At 37.1% G+C, this 23,475-nt stretch overlaps 1 annotated feature.

Moving 5' to 3' along the window:
• Window positions 14,836-16,523: an enhancer, noted in NCBI's record as "VISTA enhancer hs426". NCBI's record gives its function as "enhancer in: hindbrain (rhombencephalon)[5/5] | forebrain[5/5]" and the evidence as "EXISTENCE:transgenic organism evidence [ECO:0001131][PMID:17130149]".

Raw genomic sequence — 23,475 nt, forward strand, 5'->3', positions numbered from 1 at the left:
GCTTGTGGCTTTTTCAGGCACAGAGTGCAAACTGCCAGTATATCTACCATTCTGGGGTCTGGAGGACCATGGCCCTCTTCTTGCAGCTCCATTAAGCAGTGCCCCAGTGAGGACTCTGTGTGGGGCTCCAACCCCACATTTCTCCTCTGCATTGCCATAATGAAGGTTCTCCATGAAGATTCCACCCCTGCAGCAGACTTCTGCCTAGACATCCAGGCATTTTCATACATACTCTGAAATCTAGGCAAAGGCTCCCAAACTTTTACCTTCTGTGCACCTGCAGACACAACAATACATGGGAGCTGCAAAGGCTTGGGGCTTTCACCCTCTAAAGCAACTGCCTGAGCTGTACCTTGTCCCCTTTTAGGCAATGCAAAAGCTTGAGCAGCTGGGACAGAGGACACCCTGTGCCGAGGCTGCACAGAGCAACGGGACCCTAGGCCTGACCCAGGAAACCATGTATTCCTCCTAGGTCTCCAGGCCTGTGATGGGAGGGGAAGTCTGCAAAGATCTCTGAAATGCCCTGAAGCCATTTCATCATTATTTTGGCTATTAGCATTTGGCTCCTTGTTAGTTATCCAAGTCTATGAAGCCAGCTTGAATTTCTCCCCAGAAAAAAAGAGAGTATATATTTTCTACTGCATGGTCAGGCTGCAAATTTTTCAAACTTTCAGGCTGTGCTTCCCTTTTAAATATAAGCTCAAATTTCATACCATCTTTTTCTTCATGCATATGAGCATACACTTTTAGAAACAGCCAAGTCGTTCATGAATGCTTTGCTGCTTAGAAAGTTCTTCCACCAGATGCCCTAAGTCATCTCTCTCAAGTTCAAAGATTCACAGATATTTCGACCAGGGACAAAATGCTGCAAGTCTCTTTGGCGAAGCATAGCAAAAGTGACCTTTACTCCAATTCCTAATAAATTCCTCATCTTTATCTGAGACTACTTCAGCCTGGACTTCACTGTCCATATCACTATCAGCAATTTGGTTACAACCATTTGACAAGTCTCTATGATGTTTCAAACATTAGCACAACTTCCTGTCTTCTTCTGAGGCCTCAAAACTGTTCCATCCTCTGCTGACAACCCAGTTCTAAAGTCACTTCCACGTTTTGGGGTATCTTTATAGCAGCACCCCACTGTCTGTGGTGACAAATTTCTGTATTAGTCCGTTCTCACACTGCTATAAAAAACTACCCGAGACTGGGTAATTTATAAAGAAAAGAGCTTTAATTGGCTCACAGTTCAGCGGGCTTAACAGGAAACATGACTGGGAAGCCTCAGGAAACTTACAATCATGGCAGAAGGTGAAGGGAAAGCAAGTACCTTCTTCCTAGGATGGCAGGAGAGAGAGAGAGAGAGAGAGAGAGAGAGAGAGAGAGAGAAAGTGCCACAAACTTTTAAACTGTCAGATCTTGTGAGAACTCACTCACTATCAAGAGCAAGGGAGAAATGCATTCCCATGATCCAACCTCCTCCCATGATGTTTCTTCCCCAAAATTTGGAATAAAAATTCCACATGAGATATGGGTGGGGACACAGAACCAAACCATATCATGGTTTGTCCAGATTTTATATTTCTTCCTGATTCAGTGTTGGTTGGTTATATCTTTCCAGGAATCAATTGATTTTCTTTAAGTTTTTCAGTTTATATCATATAGCTATTGATAACACTCTCCATTGACCTTTTGCATTCCTGTGGCAGTGTTGTTACAACTGTGTTTGCATTTATAATTTTATTTGGGTTTTCTCTTTTCTTTCCTCGGTTAGTCTAGCTCGTGGTTTTATCAATTTTGTTTATGTTTCTGAATAATTGACTTTTTATTTCATTCATCCTTTGTATATTTTTAAACTTACTATTTCTTTTCATATACTAATTTTGAGTTTGGTTTGCTCTTGATTTTCTAATTTATAGAGATACATTGTTAAATTGTTTATTTGAATTTTTTATGTAGGTGTTTACTTCTATAATCTTTTCTCTTAGCACTGTTTTTGCTGTATCTCACAGGTTTCAATATGTTGTGTTTCTATTTTCATTTGTTTCGAGAATTTTTCTTTTATTTCCACATTATTTATTGATCCAATATTCACTCAGAAACATGTTATTTTATTTCCACATATGTGTACAGTTTCCAAAGTTTCTCTCCTATTGATTTCTAGTTTTATTTCATCGTGGTTTGGGAAAATACTTGATATGATTTTGTTTATTTTAGAATTTTTTGAGGCCTATTTTGGGTCCTAACATATAGTCTGTCCTAACATATAGGATATTCCATGTGCTGATGAGAATAACATGTAATCTTCTGTTATTGGAGAAAATGTTCTGTAAATGTCTGTTATGTCCATGTGATCTCAGATCCCTTTCAAATCTAATGTTTCTTTTTTATTGTTCCTCTAGATTTTCTGTCTATGCTGAGAATCTCTTATTGAAGTCTTGCTATTACTGTATTAAAGGCTCTCTCTCTTGATATCAAATAACATTTGCTTTATGAATCTGAGCACTCAATTATTGAATTCATGTGTCTTTAGTATTGCTATATATAGCTATTCCTGTTAGCTCTTGGTTTCCATTTTGGTGGAATATAGTTTTCCACCTTTTTACTCTCGGTCTATTATGTTTCTTTACCGGTAAAGTGTATTTCTTGTATGCAGCATATAATTGGATCATTTCTTTGTCCATTCAGCCATATATATATTCTTTTGAGATGGAGTCTCACTCTGTTGCCCAGGCTGTAGTGCAGTGGTATGATCTCGGCTCACTGCAGCCTTCACCTCCTGGGTTCAAGCAATTCTCCTGCCTCAGGTTCCTGAGTAGCTGGGATTACAGGCACCCACCACCATACCTAGCTGAATTTTGTATTTCTAGTAGAGACAGGGTTTCACCATGTTGGCCAGGCTAGTCTCGAACTCCAAACCTCAAGTGGTCCATCCACCTCAGCCTCTCAGTGTTAGAATTACAGGTGTGAGCCACTGCACCTGGCCAGTCTATATCTTCTAAGTGGAGAATTTAATTAATTTACATTCAAGGTTATTATTGTTTCGTGAGGATTTTTCCTTGTCATATTATTAATTGGTTTTTTTTGCTGTTTTGTACATTCTTTGTTCCTTTCTTTGTCACTTATTGTTTGTTATTGTGGTTTTGCAGGTTTATATAGTGGTACCATTTGTGTCTGTTCTCTTTCTCATTTGTGTGTTTGTGTCACCAGTGAGTTCAGATTTCCATGTGTTATCATTACAATAACTGTGGTACTTTCTCTTTCATTTAGGAAGGACAATATTGCTAGACGTAGTATCCTTGGGTGAAAATTTTGTTTACTTTTTTCTTATCACTTTGAATATATCATCCCATTCTCTCCTGACCTATATGGTTTTTGCTGAGAAATCCACTGTTAGTCTGATGGGAGTTCTTTTATAGGTGAAACATTTTCTTGTCTTGTTAAGAATTCTCTCTTGTTTTTAACTTTAGATAGTTTGACTATGGTATGCTGTGGAGAAGACCATTTTGTATTGTGTCTGTTTGGGGATCACTAAACCTCCTGTATCTGGATTTCCAAATCTCTTGCTAGACTTCAAAACTTTTTGTCTATTATTTTGTTAAATAGGTTTTCAAACACCTTTTTTCTTCTCTCACTTTTTTGCATACCAATAAATTGCAGAATTGGCCATGTTACGATGCCCCATATATCACAAAGGCTTTAATCATTCTTTTTCATTGAAAAAGAATAATTTTGGTCTGACTGGGTTATCTCATAGGACCCGTCCTCAAGTTGTGAGCTTTTTTTTCTTCTTTATCTAGTTTATTGTTGAAGCTTTAGAATAAATTTTGTATTTTATTCAGTGAATTCTTCAGTTCCCAAATTTTCATTTGAAAAATGATGTTTATCTCTTTGGTAAATTTCCCATTAATATTCTAAATTGTCTTTCTGATTTGTTTGTATCGTTTTTTGGAATTCTTTTGTGTCTCACTGAATTTCTTTACTACCAAAATTTTCCAGAATTTTTAAATTTTTTATTGGGATCTCTTGCTGGAGAATTGTTGTGCTCCTTTTAAGGTGTCATTTTTTGTTTGTCACATTTTCTATGTTCTTTTATTGATTTCTACACATTTTTTGTGGTAGTCACTTCTCCCAATTTTTTGAATTTGCTTTCATACCTGAGGAATTTTTCCTGAATATGTGTCAGTGGTTTTGGTTGGGTAGAGTTCTTTGGCTTTTATTCTGGGTGTGTGCAGTATTGTAGTCTCTGTATGATTTATTTGCCTCTAAACAGCATCAGTGCTATCTGTAATTTCTTCAGTGGTTTAGGGTGTAGTTATTAATAAATGTGGTAGTAAAGTTTTGTCCAGGACACGGATCCTAGGTGGGCCAATCTTCAGGTTCCAGTGGTGGTGGCAGAGGACTAAACATCTCTGTTCTTGAGCCCAAGGATGGCATATACTGGCACTTTTTTAGTGGGTTCAGGTGGGTAAATTCCTGGGCCTCCAGGTGTCTTGCTTGAGTGCTGGTAGTGACAGCTGTGTTCTTGGCAGGTGGGTTCTCAGGCTTCTGAGCAGTTGTGGCATGAACAATGGCAATACCAGGGCAGGATGATACTCTTGGTCCCAAGCAGTGCATACTTATGTTCATGATAGCTTTGATGGGCTGGGAAGACTGATCTCTAGGCTCCTAGGTGACTTGTGTGGGTTGGTGCTGTTGGTATGTTGCTGGCAGGCTGGATGTGTCTGTTTTCACTTTCTCAGGGGGAGTACACATAAGCCAGAGGTAGTGAAATGGGCAGAGAAATCCCCAGGTACTCAATCATGCTCAGGTACTGAGGTGGTGGTGTCAGGCTTGGCAAGTCTCACCTCAGGCCGCTTGTGGTGTGCAGGGGCATAGGCATAAGTTGTAGTAGGTAGAACATGGTGATCTGTAGTAGTGGGTGTGGATAATATGACCTCAGGATTCATGCTAAAAGACAGTGGTTCTACTCTTGGTGTTTGTGTGGTTGCTATCAGAAATCCCCTGCAGACAGCTCTCAGACTCTGGGGAGTGCACACTTTTTCTCTGCAAGCAGCAGTAGCCACAGTGGTGTGTGTGAGGATCCTGTATTCAGGACACATACTAGAATACAGGGGCCTTGCTTCTGGCATGGGTATGGTTGGCACTCAGAGCCCCAAACAGGATGCTTTCAGGTTCTGTGTAGCACTTGCTTCGGTTTCTAGCTGCACGATGACTGCAAGGTTGTGCAGAGAGACAAAGGAAATCCTGCCTTCTGTGTTTGGGCCTGAAAACAGAGACCTTGCCGCCAGGGAGATTGTTACCGTTCACAGCCCTGGACATGCAGCTGTCAGATGTGGAGCATGAGTGACAGCACTGCACAGGAGGGTAGGGACCTCATCTTCTACACATGAGTTGGAGTGCAGTTGCCACTCATAGCTCCAGACAGGCAGCCTTCCGACTCACTCACTCCAGCTCCCAGTGGCAGCAACAGGGCTGCTGTGGCTGTGGCAGTGTGCAGAGCAGGGAAGCAGCTTATCTTTTTCCATATAAGCCCAAGAACAGAGGCTGTTATGCCAGTGGGGTTGGGGTTGCTGATCCCAGGCTCAGACAGTCAGCTCTCAGGCTTGCCTGCCTATGCTCCCTATGGCAGTAACTGCTGCAGCCATATGCGGAATGGGGAAGGTATTCTACTCACCTATTACAAGCCTGGGCACAGAGTTTGTGGCATTTCAGGGAGCAGGGTTGCTTCTGAAAAGCACATGCTCTGGTTTCCTTTGTTCCAGTGGCCACCTCCTTGCTGCACTGCACTGTCCTTTCCATGGATATTAGTACTCCCTGTGTGGTAGAGTAGTCAATACTCTGCAGCACTTTTGGGTCCAGCCAGGACTGTGCCATTGTAGCCCTCCAGGTTCACACTGGGTGGTGTCAGTGGGAGCTCTTGAAATGTGGAGATAAGGAAGCTGTGGTTTCCAGGGAAGGATGCAGTCCCATGATGGCTGTGCTTTTACGATGGCACAATGTTGCAACCGCTTATGTCTCACAGGGAGTGTGCAAGCTAGAATGTATTCCTCGTCTGGTGCAATTTCCTTGTGGAGACTTCAGATCACTACCCATGGTAGTGTTTGTGTCAGTACAAGAACCCTCTCATGATTAGAATTGCAGCAGTCCATGGTCAGATTATGGACCACTGAAGGTCTCTTCACTTCCCCTTTTCCCGCAGTAGGGAATCTCTTAAGGCTCCTGTTAATCTTGGACAAGCTGGTCACTCACTTTCTTCTCCCTCTGTTCATCAGGTATTTCCGGTGGTTTCTCTTTTGTACAGCAATGTTCTCTCTTAGATTTTCTATTCACGGTGTGATTATTCATAGTTTTGATTCTTCTTTCTGGAAAGGGCAAGTGTCGAATGTCTCTAGTCTGCATATTCAACCTATCTCCTCAGTTTATGCTCTTTTTAAAATATTATTTTCATTAAAGGATAACTGAAAAATAAAATTTTTATATATCTATAGTGTGCTATGTGAAGTTTTGATATATGTATACGTTGTGATATGATGAGATAGACTAATTAACATATCCATTAACTCATTTTTACTTATCATTTTTTTTGTGGTGAGAACATTTAAGGTCTAAACTCTTAGCAATTTTCAAGCATACAATATAATCTTATTAATTGTAATCACCATGCTGTATATTACATCTCCAGAACATATTAATTCTGTCTAACTGAAACTTTGTATCTTTTAACCAATGTCTCTCAATTCCCCAGAGACTGGGGTGGGGTAGTAATACAGCCTCAACCTCCAGCAACCACCACTATTCTTTCTGCTTTTATGAGTTTGACTTTCTTGATTCCACATATAAGCAAGATAATCTAGTATTTTTCTTTCTCTGTCTGGCTTATTTGATTTAGTATAATGTCCTCCAGTTTCATCCATGTTGTGGCAAATTGTAGGAGCTCCTTCTTTCTAAAGGCTGAATATTACATATATAAAATATATACCACATATATATGTAATATTATATATCATATATACACACCACATTATAACATTTTCTTTATCTTGGCTATTATGAGTAATGTTGCAATAAATATGTGTGCGAAGTTATCTTTTCAGCATATTAATTTCATTTCCTTTGCATATATACCCAGAAGTGGGATTGCTGGATCATATGGTAGTTGTCTTTTTAATTTTTGAGGGGTCTTCACACTGTTTTCAACTAATAGTGTTTCCAACCAACAGTTTACAAGGGTTCTAATTTTTCCATGTCCTTGCCAACACTTATATTTTGTCTTTTTGATGACAGCCCTTCTAAGGGGTGTTAGGTGATAACTCATTGTGGTTTTAATTTGTATTTCTTTCGTGAATAATGTGTTTGAGCATTTTATAACATTCCTGTTGGCCGTTTTTATGTCTTTTTTGAGAAATGTCTATTTAGGTCTGTATTAGTCAGGGTTCTCTGGAGGGGCAGAACCAATAGGATAAATATGGGTGTGGTGTGTGTGTGTGTGTGTGTGTGTGTGTGTGTGTGTGTGAAAGAAGATTTATTAGAGGTGAATTGACTCACGTGACCATGAAGGTAAAGTCCCACAGCTGGCCAACTGCAAGCTGAAGAATCAGGAGAGCTAGTAGTGTGATTCCTGGAGAGGTCAGTAGTGTGGCTTCCAAAGAAGCTGCTAATGGGGCTCAGCCCAAGTCTGAAAGCTTCCAAACCAGGGAAATGAAAAATGTAGCTTCAAGTCTGAGGCTAAAGGCCTGAGTTGCCTATAGGAGGCAACTATTGCAAGTTCTAGAGTGCAAAAGCTGAAGAACTTGGACTCTGATATTCAAAAACGGGAGGAGAAAAAGGCATCCTCCTCCAGAAGATAGAGAAAGAGAAAGCAAAATTGAGGTGAGTATCCCTCTTTTTCCACCCACCTTATTGTGCTCAGGCTCCCAGCTGATTTGATGGTGCCTGCCCACACTGAAAGCAGGTTTTTCTTTCAATCCACTGATTCCAAAGTCAATCTTCTTGTAAACACCCTCTCAGTCACAGCCAGAAACAATGCATACTAGCCATCTGACAATTTCTCAAACAAGTCTAATTGACACCTAATCTTAGCTATCACAAGCTCTTTTGCCTATTTATGTATCAGATTTTTTTTCAATTGAGTTGTTTGAGTTCCATATATTTTGGATGTATATTTATTCCTTATACGATGTAGATTTTGCTAATGTTTTCTCCCATTCCATAGGTTGTCTCTTGATTTTGTTGATTGTTTCCTTTGCTGTGCCAAAGCTTTTTAGTTTGATGCAGTCCCATTTGTCTATTTTTTATTTTATCAAAAATTTTGGAGGTCATATCAAAACATTTTTTTGCAAGGCCATGTCTTTGTTTTCCTCAGATCCAGAATTTGTGTGTTTCTATTTTATACAATTTGTGCGTTTCTATTTTATACAGTTGTCTCCCCTTATACATGAAAGATATATTTCAAGACTCTCAGTGAATGCCTGAAACTGCAGCTTATACAAATCCCTATGGATATTGTTTATTCTTATGCATTCATATCTATGATAAAGTTGAATTTATAAATTAGGCACAGTAAGAGATTAACAACAAAAAACAAAAATAAAATAGAACAATCATAACAATATGCCAGCATCATTATGCTTGTCATTTTGAGTAATTATTAAGTAAAATAAGGGTTACTTGAACACAAGTACTGACATACTGCAACTGTCAATCTGATAACTGAGAGGGCTACTAAGTGACTAATGGGAAGGTAGCATAGATAGCAGGAATATGCTGCACAAAGGAAAATGATTCATGTCCCAGGTGGGACACAGCAAGATGGCATGAGGTTTCATCATGCTAAGCAGAATGCAACACAATTTAAAACTTATGAATTTTTTATTTCTCAAAATTTTCATTTAATATTTTTGGACCATGGTTGAATTCAATTAACTGAAAATGTGGAAAGAAAACTCACAAATAAGTAGGGACTACTGTCGTTTCTATCTTTTAATTTTTGTTCACTATTATTTTTCTGATTTTTTAATTTGTCTTTCTGTTCTCTTGCTGCTCACTGAGCTTCTTCATGAAGGTTATTTTGAACTCTTTTTCGGGCAGTCAATAAATCCTCATTTCTTTAGGGTTGGTTACCGTTGCTTTATTTTCTTCCTTTGGTAGTGTCATGTTTCCCTGATTGTTCATCATTCCTTCAGTCATGCACTGGTATCTGCACATTTGAAGAAATATACACCTATCCCAGTCTTTGCAGACTGGTTTTGACAGGGAAAACCCTTCATCAATAAGATAGTCCAGAGATTCTGGGCAGGCTGTCAGGTGGGGTCCACATGTAGTGCTTCTATTCAAGTACTTAAGCCAGCTGACCTGATGCCTGAGTCAGCAGGTGGGTAGAGCTGGCATCTGAGTCTAAAGGCGCTGGCCTGGGGCTTGGGCCTTCTGTGTAGACCTGAATCCTGGGTTTGTGGTGCAAGCCTAGTACTGGAGTCCACCAGAGTGGACTTGTCAACTGGATCTGTAGGAAGAAGCCTGAAGCACATGTCTTTGGTGTCCATCCTGAAGCCTGGGTCCATGGGGTCAGGCCTGGTTCAGGGATGGTCCTAGTCCCTGAGTCCACAGGGATTGGCCTGAAGCCTAATTCCATGGGAGCTGACTGGGAACTGGGGCAGAATTGGAGCCTGAGTTTATGGGATTCAGTCTGAATCTTGGCTCTGCAAATGTTAGCCTGGAATATAGGTCCTTGGGGGTTGGCCTATACCCTGATGCTACAGGGATTGTTCTGGTGCTGAGGTGGGCCTGAAGAATGGCTTTGATGGGTCTAACCTCGGCCTAAGGTATACTAGGATGAGCCTGGACCCTGGGTTGCAGAAGCACAGGATTTCATGGGCTGGTCTGATGTTCTTCCAGCCTGCAGACCATATCTGCAGGAGCTGGCCTGTGGGCTGAGTCTATGAGCACTAGCCTGGTGGCTGAGTCTGTGATATCCAGCTGGGAGGTGAGGCCATTGGGTACTGTTCTGGCATAAGGATAAGCCTAGAACCTGGGTCCCTAAGTGCTGGTTTGGAGCCTGGGGATGCAGGGGTTGGCTTCATGCTGTGAATGGGCCTGTAGCCTAAGGCTTCAGGGGTCAGCTTGGAGTTTTCTGCTGACGTGGCACTGGATGGGCCTAAAGCCTTTAAGCCTGGAGTCACCAAGGCCTGTATGGAGCCTGGTACTGTGGGGGCCAGCTTGAAGCTGATGTCCACAGGTGCAAACCTAGCCCTGAGGTGGGCCTCAAAGCACTTAGTTTCAATGCCTACATTGCTGATCAAAATATTTCAAAAAATATAAGATAAAGCAGTATATGTAAAGAAGATTGTAAAATCTAAATACAAATCACCACCACTTTAAAAGCATGGGAAAGGCACAGAAGACCAGAGGCCAAGGCCTGATTGGAGATGTATGCATTCTTCTCTCCATCCATCCGTCCATCCATCCATCCATTCTTTCTTTACTGCACACCTATTGTGTACCTGGCTCTATTCTAGCCACTCTGGGGCCTACAAAAAGAAACAAACAAACAAAGAAACAAATCTGAATCGTGTTTTGAAAAGCTGATTCCCAGGGATTAAAGTGACTCCATGGTTTCTTAGGTGGTTTGATTCAGTTTTAAACCAGCATAGAATCAATTAGTTAACCATATAATATGCTTATAGGAATATGAAGATTAACATAATAGAAAAATTCAGTCCTTGCCCTTCAGTAGCATGAGTGATGTTAATATCCCTTTACTGAAATACATTATAAAGCAAATGTGGATCAAATACACTGGTATTTTATTTTCCAAAATGAACAACAGAATTTTGTCAAAGGGATTTTTACACGTGCAAAAGACATGTAATGAGGAATTGCAAGATGGCTTGAGTTATAGAAACTAACCAACTGTTCCTTCCATGTAACAGATACCACATTCTGAACTTCTTGAATATTCATAGTCATTGAATAATTGTTTATAAATAGTCTGAAATATTTCCCTTTCCAAGAAGCACTTGTGTCTATATCCTTATGTAAAGGAAACAATCTTGTAATAAGCCCTGTGCATTGATGTTTTTTGACTCTCATGCTATTTGACCTATGTCACCTCTGTTGGGACTAGTGTTATGACGGTTTTCTCTCTCATAATGACTGAGATATGGAGTTTATGTTCAGGCTGTGACATTGTAGAAATTAGAACTGGATGCTAACTGACTCATGTAATCAAACTTGTAACTTTATCCTCATTAGTATTATAACTGAGATAATCGACCCAGACATATGGCTATGCCAGTTAATTACAAACAAACTAGGTACCTTTCTGAATCTCAAGGGTAATTCCACAGAGATAGTCATAGCATTAAACAGTTTTAAGCATTTAAATATTTATTGTAAAAGTAATTTTTTTTTGTTTCACCATTGCAAATACTAATGTCTAGAAGTAGATTTTGAGAGTTTGCTTGTGGCCTAGCTCTGAGATCTGGTGGGTCCTAGATCTACCAACATCCTAGTCTATAACATCACTTATTCCAGGGTTTTTTAAAGAGCTGAAATGTTTGTTATCTATTATTATACAGAAATCCACCAAATGAGGTCTTGGGAATAATACAAAGGGTGAAATTGAGGAATAGCATTTCAGTTTATAATATTTACAAAGACCTTTTCCCTAAACTACAAAAGAAATAAATTTTTGTCAGAAGACTACTGTAGTTGAAAATATACATCTTCAAATAAGAGTTTTGTCTCTGATCATTCATGGACAAAAATGTTATTTTGCCTACATGTTACTGCATCTTTGCATATTGATTCTCTCTCTGTGTCTCTTTTTTCTCTGTGTCTTTCTGTATTTGTCTGTCTGTTTCCCTCTCTTTTACCCCCTTTTTTCCCTCTCCCTCTTTCTCTGTCACTCTTCCTCTCTAATTCCCTCCGTCTTTCCCCTGTCTCTGTCACACATACACACATATAAGGCATCATAAGCAGATAGAATTTTTAAAAAAATAAATAATACTAAACTAGTAACTGATTCTCTGCCTAAAGGGTTTCATTTTTTTTTTCAGAGAAATAAATGTTTCAACCCAAGCAAACAGGCCAGAGAAATCAACAGTGTATAATTCTTTTACACTGAAATTCACCCCAGGGGTGTTGATTTGTCAATACTCCATTAAGAGATGACCAAAAAAGGGTTCTGATGTGGTTGATTGCTACAGTTGTTTCTAAACACAGGGTACTGTGTGCGACACAATGTTTCTGGAGGTTAATTTTAAAAATCAAAATGAGCGATGTTAAAATGTTTTTTGGTTTGGTGCTGATACTTCTTAAAGCTCAATATCTAATCTCGACCTCTCCTGTGGGCTCCAGTCCTGAATTTTCAATTAAATTCAAAGGTATTTCCACCTTCTTTCTATTTTTTCCTATTTTTTGTATGATTCTTCCATTGTTCTATCATCCAAGTTCAATATCAGCCATCATTCAGCTACAAAAGCCCTATGAATTCAACCTCCACTGAATGCTGAAAGGTATTCTTTTCTTTCATTTCCACTGCTTGTCCACTTATCCAGACTATTATTACCTATCATATCCTTAGTTACAGTTGCCTTCTAAGTGGCCTCTGGTTCTCCATCTCCCTCTACTTCAATCTATGCTATAATCTCCTACTAAATCAATCTTACTAAATAATCAAATTCATCTTGTTTACCCTCTTCTTAACTAAAATTCTTCTGTGATTTTCCATGCTTACCAAATAAGGAATTTACTTTTTATCATGGCATTCAAAATTCTTTATAGCACAAATCAACTCTTCTTTTCCAGTTTTATTACCCACAACTCTCCTTTATATTTTCCCTACTCCAGCAAATTGGACTACTTGCCATTTCCTGAACTTCCTCCACACCAGCATTATCTTTCCCTAGTTGAAAATCCTCTTCCTCATTCATGAACTCTAAATCCTCCCAACTGTCTAAAGTTCATAGAAAATGCCACTTTGTTCATGTTACTCTTTTATACTCAGGATTAATTTGTCTTGCAGCTGAGTTCACAGAACTTTTAACATTTTCATTTTGTTTTGTTTACTGCTCACATGGAAATATTGCTTTTGCCATTGTTTTAGTTACTTGCATATTTGTCTTACTTTATTCTGTTACTAAAATGTAATCTTCTTGAAGGAAGCATACTGGGTCTTCACATGTATGGGTATATATCGGAACAGAAGCTGAAGTTCCTTTCATATATATTTACAAAAATAATATTTTAATTTCCATGAAATAAAGGTTTCTTGAATTATTTATATTATAGTTGTTATTTCATGCATTTGTAAGGAAACTGAAATGTTTCTGCCTTTCTGTATTGAGGTTTACTTGATGTCTATTGAAAATGTTTCCTTAGTTAGAACATAATAATGGATTAGACCCTCACCAAATTACTAAAAGTTTACTTTGTTTCTATTTTATGTTCTTCTTCTACTTTAAAACAATGCTAATGTCCTTTCTTTTTCTCTTGTTTTGGTCAATTTTCTGTAAAACAATTATTCAATAATAAAGATAATATAAATAACGAAAGTAAATACATATACCAAATTCCCTTTTACTTATAATAAAGAATATAGAGTTTTTTTGTTACATTGGAAAGTTGAGTGAAGAATATTAAACTTTAATTTCTGCCATCAATTTCTGTACTACTCCATTTCCCACTGAAAGCATCGAGTGTTCCGATAATATATCAATTCTTAACATGATAAATCATGGCAATAATAAGGAAATATGACTTCCTTTATCTTCCACACAAGATCAAATTTTTATTTATGTTTCCCTCTGTCAATTGGGTACTTCACAATATGTTCATAGTTGTGCTTATATTCAATGGAAATAAAAAATCACACCTTACATTTTAAATTTTGCAGTCATTTTCTACATTTTGTACAGTGAAATTTAACTAAGTCCTCTCCACTTTTCATGTGCCTAATCTTTAGGATCTATTTACATTTTACTGCAATGTGAAAATACAAGAAAAATTTAGCCAAATGTAAAAGGCCCAAGCCACATCGTCAAACAGAAGGTTTGACTTAATTTTTAAGGAAAAGAAGGAAATGAAGACAGAAGAAAAATGGGGAGAGGGAGAAAATATGATTTCCTCTTAAAACAAGCAGAATTCTACAAGTTAATACTTTTGCAAAATAAAATTGTATAAATACTCATCTATCCAAAGTACAGTCTTATAGTACATTTAAATCCCTCTGAAACCCAGAGCACTGTGTTTATAATAGAATAGCAGACAGACTTGCCCTTCACTGGAGGGCATGTCATATAAGTCCTCGCTTTCTCTGCAAAAACATCAGGCTGGCAGTAGTGACAGATGAACAGCTTACCATTAATTTCCCCTCTTTCATGCTTTCAATCCAAATGGTGCATATTCTCCACGGGGAGGCATCAAGGTCTCTGCCTTTATTTCTCCTGTATACCCACATTGACTTATAAATTAAGTGCAGATAAGAAGAGAGGGCAAATATCAATCTTTATTTTTTTTTCTCCTAGCCTATGCCCACTGGCACACTACTGAGCTTTGACTGAAAGATTCTTCAAATTGTCCTGTGAGTCACAGGCTAGAAAGTTTTCAGTGAGGACAAAACAACAAAGGAAATCTGAGAGGGAAAATTTGCATATCTTGGCTTATAATTTAGAAACTTTGCCACTGCAGTATTTTAAAAATTAGTTACCAAAAATATACACGTAAGATGTTATGACCACTAAGGAAAGAAAAATCTGGAATATAAAGCCATCTGCATTGTTTTAGCATGGTGAGGAAAATAGCAATCTTTAAGTCATTTCTTTAGTCTTATTTTCCCCCTTTATGGTAAGGGGTTGGTCTCTTCATAAAACTTGGAGTATCCACAATAAAGCCCTTTGCTATGACTGGTCTGCTTTATTTGAATCACAGTGTTTTACAACAGCTTTATGAGTGAAATATTTCATATACTACATTTTAAGTTAAGGATTTGATATACTGAGGTTTTAGCACATGACTGTTATTACTTTGTATATATTTTTCAAATTGTGCACGGTACCTTGTACATGATAAATGCTTAATAGATATTGTATTTTTCATATACACTCTGGTACTGGATTTATTTTTTAGTCATAGTGGTCATTTTATGCTAATATTTATGATTGCTGAGGATGTCTGATTTTTAAAAACTTTCCGTTGAAGAAATTATACCCTGCTGCCTTTAAAAAATATTCACAGCTTTGCTAGTACATTAAAAAGAGGGAACATTTGGAGAAAAAAGAGCATTATGTAATTCTTTTGACTTTTAACAAATCAATCTTGAACTAAAAGTGCATCCAAACCTACTAGATGACACAATATCATTTTAAGCTCAAAGAAATCGATATTATGATCACTGAAAAATTATAATTTTTTTAGCTAAGCATGAAGTGTTAATACTATTAAATGACAGTAAATGTTGATGTTCAAGGCTTCCTGCTGGCCTTTTGCAGGTGACATATCTAAGGATCAGAGCTATTCCATTTTGTATTCCCCTTTTTTCTTTAAGGCTGCAAGACTCAACTATAAATTACAACTGATGACAAAAGTGGAAGCTAACAGTGGCAAAATTAGGCCCAAAGGCAAAATAATTATATATACAGCCTTCAGCAGTGAGGGAGAGAGCCATCAATCAGCCCCCAATTATTCACTAGTTAATCAGCTCTGCCCTTCCTTTATTGAAGGGTTACAGTGTAATTAAGTTGGCAGCATCCTTTTAATTCATCAAACATACAACACATGGCGGTGTTTGCTGCGTTGAGGGACAGCACCTTTGTGTGTTTGACCCCTAGCACTGCTGCTGTAGATGAGGAAAACTTCAGAGGTAAGAGAGAATATGTATGCAGCTGCACGACAGTGGGGTGTTGGTGTTTTCATATACAGCCCTAAGCTTAAAACAACTAAGATTTATGCTATGTCAAGGATAAAACAGATAGGGATATGAAAGAAGAAAAAGAACATCGATGATATTGCTTGGGTCACATTATCTCAGAAGAGTTAAAAGAACAATATATAAGCTGTTTTTCTTCAGCTAGGAGAGAACAGAGAGTTTTTTACTATTTCATAGTAAAATTGGTAACACACCAACAGACAATCTGGATAAATCAGAAGGAAAAAATTGTTTCTTCCCTTTAGAGGCTTAAATTAATTGTTAAGATGTCCTTTCTTTACTAGATAACTTCTCTATACTTGGTTCAACATTGGCTTCAAAGGTGCACTTTTTTGTCCTTCTTAGCCAAAAGTCCAATAACTTGGCCCAATAGGAGATTTTTTGTGGAATAAAAGAATTAGACTTAGAAAATAATAAAATATAATGGTCCTTGAAAATATTAGTGTTTATGTAGTGCTAATATTTCCTTAAATTCAGAAATACAGTACAACACTGTTTTAATCCAACTTTTTTCTTTTCTTTTCGTTTCTTTTTAGGATTTAAACATACTGTGGGTCATCTCTTATACTGTAAATCTAACAACTCTTAGCAGGGAAAGCCTGAGAGAATACGGTGAGGATATAAGGCAGGCGGTCTTCCTGCCTCCCTGCAGCAGGGCTATAAAGGATTCCCACTGTTTTTCTCTTTCTTGTTTTATTTGCTATAAAATAGGAATTGACATTTGTTCTCTCATAAAGTAACTTGGTGAATGAATTAAATTTTACAAAATATATAAATTCTTCAGTTTCTTTTCTGTTGGGACTATAGGGTACAACAGTATCTCTTCTGATGTCTCAGATAAGGAGAGACTTCTATATTTTGAATGCCCCTGAAGGAAGAAAAACAGTCTTCCCTTATTCACTTCTGATTGCATAGATGATACTGCATGTAAATTCTGAACACTCAACATAATAATCATAACATTTATATAACATTAACAATCCCTATTATAAGCAGTTTCACATTTATTAACTGATTTAATCCACAAATAATTCTATGGCATACGCATAATTACTTTCGTTTTACGTGTGAGGCAACCAAGTCAAAGAGAAGTTAAACAACTTATCTGAGGTCACACAGCTAGTGGTTGGGAAAGTGAGAGTATAAGACCAGGCAGTAGGCTCCATAACCACATTTAACTGCTATTTTTTTTTTTTTTGTTGTTGTTGTTGCTGTTGCTGTTTTTGTTTTTTTAATTATACTTTAAGTTTTAGGGTACATGTGCACAATGTGCAGGTTAGTTACATATGTATACATGTGCCTTGTTGGTGTGCTGCACCCATTAACTCGTCATTTAACATTAGGTATATCTCCAAATGCTATCCCTCCCCACACCCCACAACAGGCCCCAGTGTGTGATGTTCCCCTTCCTGTGTCCATGTGTTCTCATTATTCAATTCCCACCTATGAGTGAGAACATGTGGTGTTTGTTTTTTTGTCCTTGCAGTAGTTTGCTGAGAATGATGGTTTCCAGCTTCATCCATATCCCTGCAAAATACATGAACTCCTCCTTTTTTATGGCTGCATGGTAGTCCATAGTGTACATGTGCCACATTTTCTTAATGCAGTCTATCATTGTTGGACATTTGGGTTGGTTCCAAGTCTTTGCTATTGTGAATAGTGCCACAATAAACATACGTGTGCATGTGTCTTTATAGCAGCATGATTTATAATCCTTTGGGTATATACCCAGTAATGGGATGGCTGGGTCAAATGGTATTTCTAGTTCTAGATCCCTGAGGAATCGCCACACTGACTTCCACAATAGTTGAGCTAGTTTACAGTCCCACCAACAGTGTAAAAGTGTTCCTATTTCTCCACATCCTCTCCAGCACCTGTTGTTTCCAGACTTTTTAATGATCGCCATTCTAACTGGTGTGACATGGTATCTCATTGTAGTTTTGATTTGCATTTCTCTGATGGCCAGTGATGATGAGCATTTTTTCATGTGTTTTTTGGCTGCATAAATGTCTTCTTTTGAGAAGTGTCTGTTCATATCCTTCACCCACTTTTTGATGGGGTTCTTTGTTTTCTCTTGTAAATTTGAGTTCATTGTAGATTCTGGATATTAGCCCTTTGTCAGATGAGTAGGTTGTGAAAATTTTCTCCCATTTTGTAGGTTGCCTGTTCACTCTGATGGTAGTTTCTTTTGCTGTGCAGAAGCTCTTGAGTTTAATTAGATCCCATTTGTCAATTTTGTCTTTTGTTGCCATTGCTTTTGGTGTTTTAGACATGAAGTCCTTTCCCATGCCTGTGTCCTGAATGGTATTGCCTGGGTTTTCTTCTAGGGTTTTTATGGTTTTAGGACTAACATTTAAGTCTTTAATCCATCTTGAATTAATTTTTGTATAAGTTGTAAGGATGGGATCCAGTTTCAGCTTTCTACATATGGCTAGCCAATTTTCCCAGCACCATTTATTAAATAGGGAATCTTTTCCCCATTTCTTGTTTTTGTCAGGTTTGTCAAAGATCAGATGGCTGTAGATACGTGGCATTATTTCTGAGGGCTCTGTTCTGTTCCATTAGTCTATATCTCTGTTTTGGTACCAGTACCATGCTGTTTTGGTTACTGTAGACTTGCAGTATAGTTTGAAGTCAGGTAGCATGATGCCTCCAGCTTTGTTCTTTTGGCTTAGGATTGACTTGGCAATGTGGGCTCTTTTTTGGTTCCATATGAACTTTAAAGTAGTTTTTTCCAATTCTGTGAAGAAAGTCATTGGTAGCTTGATGGGGATGGCATTGAATCTATAAATTACCTTGGGCAGTATGGACATTTTCACGATATTGATTCTTCCTACCCATGATCATTCCTAACTGCTACATTGTTAAGCACTGTGATCTGCTGACGTGACGTTTTAAGGGACTTAGGCTAGTGATTTAAAACAAATATTCCTTCTTTTTATTCTATGATTTAAAATAATATTGGGAGTTTCTTTCATTTCAATGTTAAAATAATTCTAACATTTGTGGGTTCATTAATCAGAATGAAATTTAATAGATGGTCACTTGTATTTGACACTCAGTGATGTTTTAAAAGAAAAGTAGTTACAGAGATAGGGGATAATAAAGATCCTGTGTACTGTTTTGGACTAATCAGCTAAGCCTACGAGTAATGTTTCAAACTCTGTCTCTTTGCTGGCCAAATGAAGAATGAATTTCTTTGTTCTGTACTGTCCTAGTATAATGGAGGTTAAATTCATGTTTTTAAAAATGTTTTATGACTTTAATTGTATGTAACATATAAAATTGTTATCAGTGTGGAAGATTTGTTGAATTATTTTCATACACAAGTAAAATATGGTTATCTTCGTCAGTTAGCATGTAATTATATATTTTTAGTTAGCATTTATGTAGTGAAGCTAATGGCATAAATTGTATGGAAGCACTTTGTCAATAGCAATTGTTGTAATAATATTTTTCTTATCTGGAATTAGCCTTTTTATTTATCTAATAAACTTTCTTACCTTTTTATTTTTATTTTTATTTTTTGAGACAGAATCTCGCTCATTAGCCCAGACTGGAGTGCGGTGTCGAGATCTCAGCTCACTGCAACCTCCGCCTCCCAGGCTCAAGCCATTCTCCTGCCTCAGCTTGCTGAGTAGCTAGGATTACAGGCACCCACCACCATACCCAGCTAATTTTTGTATTTTTAGTAGAGATGGGGTTTCACCATGTTGGCCAGGCTGGTCTTGAACTCCTGACCTCAGGTGATCCGCCCACCTCAGCCTCCCAAGGTGCTGGGATTACAGGCATGAGCCACCATGCCCACCAACTTTCTTAACTTTTAAACATGTCTCTTACTGTGCAGTTTTCTTAATGTAACACAAGCAGAATGAAGCATTCAAATAATGATTTTGTGGATCTTAAAGTGTTTCTTGGGATGAGTGGATTATCCCAGGTTACTATAAATTGCAACTAATGGGACACAAAGATAGTGCTGAAAAACATGTCTCTCGTGCATCATTTTGCACCTACTATCTAATCTCTTAGAACACTTAGTCTTTCAAGTTGTCATTCTCTTCTTCGATTTTATTGTTCTTAATTGATCCTCATGTTTTTTTTAATCAAAGAATATCGTGTACTTGAAGTCCTCTAGGTTGCCTTTCATTTAGTTTTTATTTTCTTTAATTTATCTTATCTAGACACCCAATCAGTAAACAAATATAAAAAGTGTTCTATGTATAAGGTTTTCATCTAGGCACCAGGCAATAATAAAGGCCATATACATTATGATTCTTGACTTCCTGACTTATCTTCATAATTTAATTAGACTGATAAGTGGTATAGAAGTTCTTTGAGAATGCTGATCATGCCTTATATTTTGCACAGTATTTTTAAACTACATTATATCCTTAATAAGGACTAACATCTTTTACATTGCTGGTGGAAATGTAAAATGGTGTGCTGCAGTGGAAAACAGTTTAGCAGTTCATCAGGAAGTTAATCATAGAATTACCATATGACCCAGCAATTCCATTTCTAAGTATATACTCGAGAATTGAAAAAAAGTGATGAAATACAAACATGTAGATGAATATTCATAGGAGTACTATTCACAATAACCAAAAAGTGGAAAGAATGCAAATGCCTATCAGCAGAAAAATGGATAAATAAATTGTGGTATGTCCATACAATGGACTATTGTTTAACCATAAAAAAGAATGAAGTATGGTACATGCTTCAACATAGATGAACCTTGAGAAAATTATACTAAGAGAAAGAAGCCACACAAAAAAGGCCACATATTTTACTATTTTCTTCATATAAAATATTCAGAAGAGGTAAATCCAAATAAATAAAAAATAGATTAGTGGTTGGGGGAAATGGTGGAAGAAAGACCAGGACATGACTGCTTAATGGATGAGAATTTTTGGGGGGAGGTGATTAAAATATTTAATCTAGATAGTGGTGGTTGTTATACAACATTGTTAATTTACATAATGCCACTAAATTTTACACTTCAAATGATAAAAAATGGTAAATTTTATGTCAGGTGTATTTTAACCCCAATAAGAAATTTAAAAATACATATAACCACTGATAGCTACATGAGGCAGTATAAACACCTTCTGCATCCAGACAGTTTAAGGAAAATGAGAATTCTAGTAGGCTATGTTCTAGCAAAGGTTTTACACATAAATGTTTTTAGGGGCAAGCTGGTAACAAGCGTACAATGGAAAATGGTGGGGACTTTTTGAAAACTTACTAAAAAGTTTTTCAAATTTTATTGCTATAAGGTATGCTGGATTTTTATCATAAATGAGTGCTAGATTTGGTTATTTTGTTTCATCAATTGATATGATCACATGATGTTTTCTTCTTAAGCCCGTGGATATGCTGCATTAAATTGATTGATTTTCAAATATTGAACTAGCCTTGAATAACTGGACTATATCCTACTTGGTCATGGTGTATAATTTCTTTTATGCATGATTGCATTTAATTTCCTAATATTTTGTTAATAATTCTAATAACAGACTATTTTGTTAGTAATATTTTATACTGTACTTTTCTCATTGTCATGTAAGTGTAATACTAGATTCTTAATTGGAAACTATTCTTTTATTTTCTATTTTCTGCAAGTATTTGTGTAAAATTCTCGTCAATTCTTTCTGAAATCATCTGTAGAATTCACCAATGAAACCATTAGGGCCTGGAGATTTCATTTTTGAAAGCCTTTTAGTTACAGATTTAACTTCTTCAATAATTAAATGACTATTCAGATGATCTATTTTATCTTGATTGAATTTTAGTAGTCTATGCTTTTAGAGGAATTGGTCCATTTCTTCTATGTTGTCAAATTTATGAATAAAAATATTTGCAGTATTTTCTTATTTTTCATTTAATGGTTGTAGGATCCTCAGTGATAGCTCCTGTTACATTCTAGGTATCAGTGGTTTTTTTCTTTTTCAATTTTTGTCAGTTTTTCTACAGATTCATACATTTTATTTATTATATTAATACAACATTTTGATTTAATTGGAGTTTATTTTGCTGCTCTTGCTTGCTTTTATTCAATTTCATCAACTTTTGCCCTTATCTTTATTATTTCTTTACTTCCTCTCTTTGGTTTATTTTTATCTTATTTTCCTAGTTTCCTAATATAGATTAATATTTTGAGCCTGCAAGCTTGGGCAACATAGTGAGATCCTGTCTCTAGAAAATATTGAAAAATTAGCCAGGCATAATTGTGTGCACCTGTAGTCCCAACTACTCCAGAGGCTGAAGCTGGAGGATCACTTGAGGCCGCACTAAGCCATGATTGGGACACTGCACTCCAGCCTGGGTGACAGAATAAGACCTTATCTCTAATAACATAATAATAATAATAATAATAATAATAATAAATAATGTGATGCTATAGTATACTATGAGACATACTGTGACTATAAGATTAATAATAATCATGAGGCCCAATTGAACATCTCATAGGACCTACCCTACGTGTTAACTAATAATATGAAATATCCTAGCTGGGGGATTTTCAGCACTATAGCCCTGAAGATTACTCGTTCTCTTTCACAATGGGGCCAAAAAACACTGGTTGCCCTAGAGAAAAGGCCACCTCAGCACAGAGTCAACTTTAAGAACCTTAGAACAAAGCGTATCTGTATAAGAATAGCTTAAACTGCCTTTATGAAAGAAACACTTCGTAACTGACCCAGACTGAATACAAGTGTAAGAAAGGGGAAATATTCCTCTAACTCTCAGAATGTTCTCCAGTTGGAGACTCTTCTGGTGAGGCAGTCATCAGATCCCTGACTGTAACTGGTCCATACCACTGGCTTGTTCCCACTGTCCATCTTATAAGTGTACTGCCAGAATAAACTGCCTGAACATTAGGTGTTGCCTAAGATCCATCATTGACACGATTGGACCATAGGGAAAAAAAATTGCCTGTGGGGAAGCTGGCCAAATGGGCCAACCCAAGACCCCTGAACACAATAGAGGCTTTTCCACTTTTAAAAATATAAGTACTTAGTGTTATGCATTTTCCTTTCAGTACAGCTTTTAATATGTTTTATTTTCATTTATTTTCAGTAATAGCATATTTAAAATTTTCCTTTGCGACTTATTCTTGATCCATAAATTATTTCAAAATGTGTTGTTTAGTTACATGGATAAGTTCTTTAGTGGTGACTTGTGAGATTTTGGTGCACCCATCACCTGAGCAGTGTACACTGTACCCATTGTGTAGTCTCTTATCCCTCATCCCCTCCCACCCTTCCCCCAACACAGTCTTTTGGAGGGTGAAGGGTGGGAGGAGGGAGAAGATTAGGAACATCTGAAGTTAAAAGTTTTTTAAAATGTAGAATAAAGTTCTTAAAAATGTATTGTTAATGTTCCAAGTGTTTAGAGATGTTCTGTTGTCTTTCTGTTACTGGATTATAGTTTGATTTCACCAAGATCAGTAAACACACATAGATCAATGAAACAGAACAGAGAGCCCAGAAATAAAGCCACATACCTGCAGCCAACTGCTTTTAGACAAAGTTGACAAAAACAAACAATGA

Source organism: Homo sapiens, chromosome X, assembly GCF_000001405.40.
Source record: "Homo sapiens chromosome X, GRCh38.p14 Primary Assembly".
Lineage (NCBI taxonomy): Eukaryota > Metazoa > Chordata > Mammalia > Primates > Hominidae > Homo > Homo sapiens.